This window comes from Homo sapiens, chromosome X (genome assembly GCF_000001405.40).
Source record: "Homo sapiens chromosome X, GRCh38.p14 Primary Assembly".
Lineage (NCBI taxonomy): Eukaryota > Metazoa > Chordata > Mammalia > Primates > Hominidae > Homo > Homo sapiens.
This window is the reverse complement of record NC_000023.11, coordinates 115,398,795-115,401,871: the sequence shown is the minus strand read 5'-3', so window position 1 is coordinate 115,401,871 and position 3,077 is coordinate 115,398,795. Positions and strand designations below refer to the sequence as shown.

The 3,077-nt window shown below is 45.0% G+C and overlaps 1 annotated feature.

Annotated features, from left to right (window-relative positions):
• Positions 2,136-2,709: an enhancer, noted in NCBI's record as "NANOG hESC enhancer chrX:114633821-114634394 (GRCh37/hg19 assembly coordinates)". NCBI's record gives its function as "activates a minimal SCP1, AML or CMV promoter by ChIP-STARR-seq in naive H9 embryonic stem cells {active_cell/tissue: H9 hESC(naive)}" and the evidence as "EXISTENCE:reporter gene assay evidence [ECO:0000049][PMID:30033119]".

Genomic DNA, 3,077 nt, shown 5'->3' with positions numbered 1-3,077 from the left:
TAATAAGGATATGGCCAAAAAAAAAAAAAAGGAGATAAAAAGGTATGGGCTAGATCATGAAGACTTGTAAGATATGTAAGGGATTTGAACTATATTACTAGCTTCTAAATTTTAAAAAACTAATGGAAATATTTTCTTAATTACTTGCTTACTCTGCCGTCTTTCCTGGCAAAATCTGTAAGGGTATCTTGCTCATCTTGTTCATTACTGTATTCCTAGAGAGTGGCATTGTGGCTGGCCCCTAAGGCCTCCCCAGTGAATCTACATTCTTCATGGAATGAAATGTGAAACCGTTGCACTAAATGTCCTATGAAATCTTTGTTATTTCAACTCACTAACCTTTAAGCTGGGGTCCCTTAAACCACACCTGTAAGTGACCCTCTGTGTTAGTCCAGGCTCTCCAAGAAGCAGACAAAGTGATAGGGTTAAAAACACAAGAAATTTATTAGAGGCAATCCATATGATGGAAAATGGGGAGGGAGCTAGGAAAATCTAGGAGAGCCACCAGCATTCATTGCAATGCAATGCAAGTCTCACCCTGAGTGAAGGAGAGAGAGAGAGAAAGAAGGAAGGAAGGAAGGAGTGGGGGATGGAGGGTATTAGCCTACCATGTAGTTCTAAGGAAAGTTTAACAAGGCTGCCAGGGAGTCCTTGAGACAGTCACCAGTCAAAGGAATCCAGTGTCTCATGGACAGGCCTGTCTAGGTTCCCTGCTGTGCTCACACAATGACGGGGAGCAGCCGTAGGAAGCATGGCCTCAGTGCCAAGGCGATGATTTCAGAGCACAGCAGCAGCTTGGTCACTGTCCCTGCAGAAATCTGAGTGGCACATTCTCAGGACTGCCATGCCTGCCAACCCCAGCATTGTCAGCAGGGCTCCTGTACTGTTTAGTGTGGCCCCTGTATTCTGGTTACCGGGTTCTGTTGTTTCCAAGTCCTAATTTATACTCTCATTCTATAAAGCCAGCCGTATATTTCCTCTGGGAGTGAAGTCTGCCTTGCCCCCTAAATCCTTCTATAAATTATGGATCTGACTCTGAACTAGAGCCCCTGTGGACATCTCGTCCCAATGAACAAACATCCCTTGTCCCAGCCGTCTACCTGCCTGTTGCCTGCCCTTGCCATAGGATATATATATATATGCGCCCACATACACACACACACACACACACACACACACACACACACACACACACACACACTGAGAGATAGAGAGAGAGAGAGAGAAAGACATGAGGTCTTGCCCTCTTGCCTAGGCTGGAGTGCAGTGACATGATCACAGCTCACTGCAGCTTCCAACTCCTTGGTTCAAGAGATCCTCCTGCCTCAGCCTCCTGAGTGGCTGGGATTACAAGTGCACGCCACCGTGCCAAAGATAAGATGTTTTTAAGGATAAAATTCTCCCATGTTAGCTCCTGGTTTTATGGATCCCCATTAGTCAGAAAGAGATGTTCTGCTGCCTATCTGTGCTGCTCTAGTACCAGGTACCTCCCCACTATGGATTAACTGAGGAGGTTTCATAGCTCATCCACCACCACACAACAAATAAGTATGAAGGCTGAAGTTTAAACCAGGACTGTGTGATTTTTAAATTGTACTTTCTAAACCACTATCTGACACCGCCTCTCCTTCATAGAACTAGTCACACTGGATGGTGACCCTCTGTTTACTGGTCCATTCACCCCCTTCCTCAAGATAACAGCCGCCTGAGTTGGGCGGGGAGAGCAAGGCACAAGTAGGCAGTTAAGAAGTGTTTCTGGAATAAAAGAACGAAGGGAGGGATGAACGAACAAACAAATGAACTGTTAGCAGCCAAGTTGCAGTCATCCCAGATTGGGCCCAATTCTACAGTTTCTGAGAGCTTGGCAGCTCTAAGAGGCTCTGGTCCTGTGAATCCATATGTCTCCCAATGCAACCGCTTAATAATGAAACCAGAGCTGCTAGGACAGCACTTTCCATTTACTCCCGACCCTGAGCTGCTTGCGGATCCAATAAAGAATTTGAATAGCCAAAGTTCTAGAAATGTGAGAGATAAGATGCTTTCTGCTCAAAAAAGAAGAAAAAAGTCAAACAAAGGGAATCCTAAGATATGTTTCTTGGTGAGGTGGGGGTTGCAGAAGGGGCCAGCATGGTCATACTGCCTGAAGGCAGCTTTCAGTGTCGCCAGACAGAAAAGGAAATGACAACAACTTTAGACAAGAATAGAAGGGCAAATAAAGATCTTATTGAAAAGCAGGTAAATTGGCTGGGCTCAGGAAGTCTTTAATGGCTCAGGGCTGGCAAAGGTCCCATCTGGTAGTCCACTTCTACCTTACAATGGAGCTCAGTGGACTCCATGTTGTTCACTTGCTCTGAACCTTTGTGTGCAGCATGGGCTTGGTATTGAACCTAAACATGAAGGGCCTCTTTGTTCTGTAATTTTCTCCCCTTCACAGACCACAGAGCCTCCACAGGCATTGATGGCCCATGATTACATTAGCAGTGTGTGTAATTCTGGGTGAGCCGCTTAATCTCTCCAAACCTCAGTCTACTCATATGTAAAACGGGTCTGGACCAGATCACTGAGATAACGTGTGAGTGTCTAGCAGACTATTGGCATGTAGTGAACATTTGGTAAATGTTTGTTAAAAGAGTTAAAGTATGACTACAGAGTTCTCCATTCCTATGTCAGGTATAAGGACTATGTAAGGAAGGGATCTGTATTCCTGCTTCAGTGGCAACCAGACTTTTCCCGCTCAGTATTCTGAGGAAATCTGAGGAGAATTAATTGGTTATTAACATTCACTATGGGGCAATGTGGGGTGGGAGGTGGTAGAGAGAGGACAAAAAACAGATACAGAAGAAATACGCTACTTTTGTTCCTAAGGATGCTTTTAAAGGCTTAGTGCTGCGAAGCAAGGCTTTTCCGTTTTTAAAAATTTAATTTAATTTAAGTTCCAGGATACATGTGCAGGACGTGCAGATTTGTTACACAGGTAAACGTGTGCCATGGTGGTTGGCTGCACCTATCAACCCATCGCCTAGGTATTAAGCTCCACGTGCATTGGCTATTTATCCCTATGGTCTCCCTTCCCCACC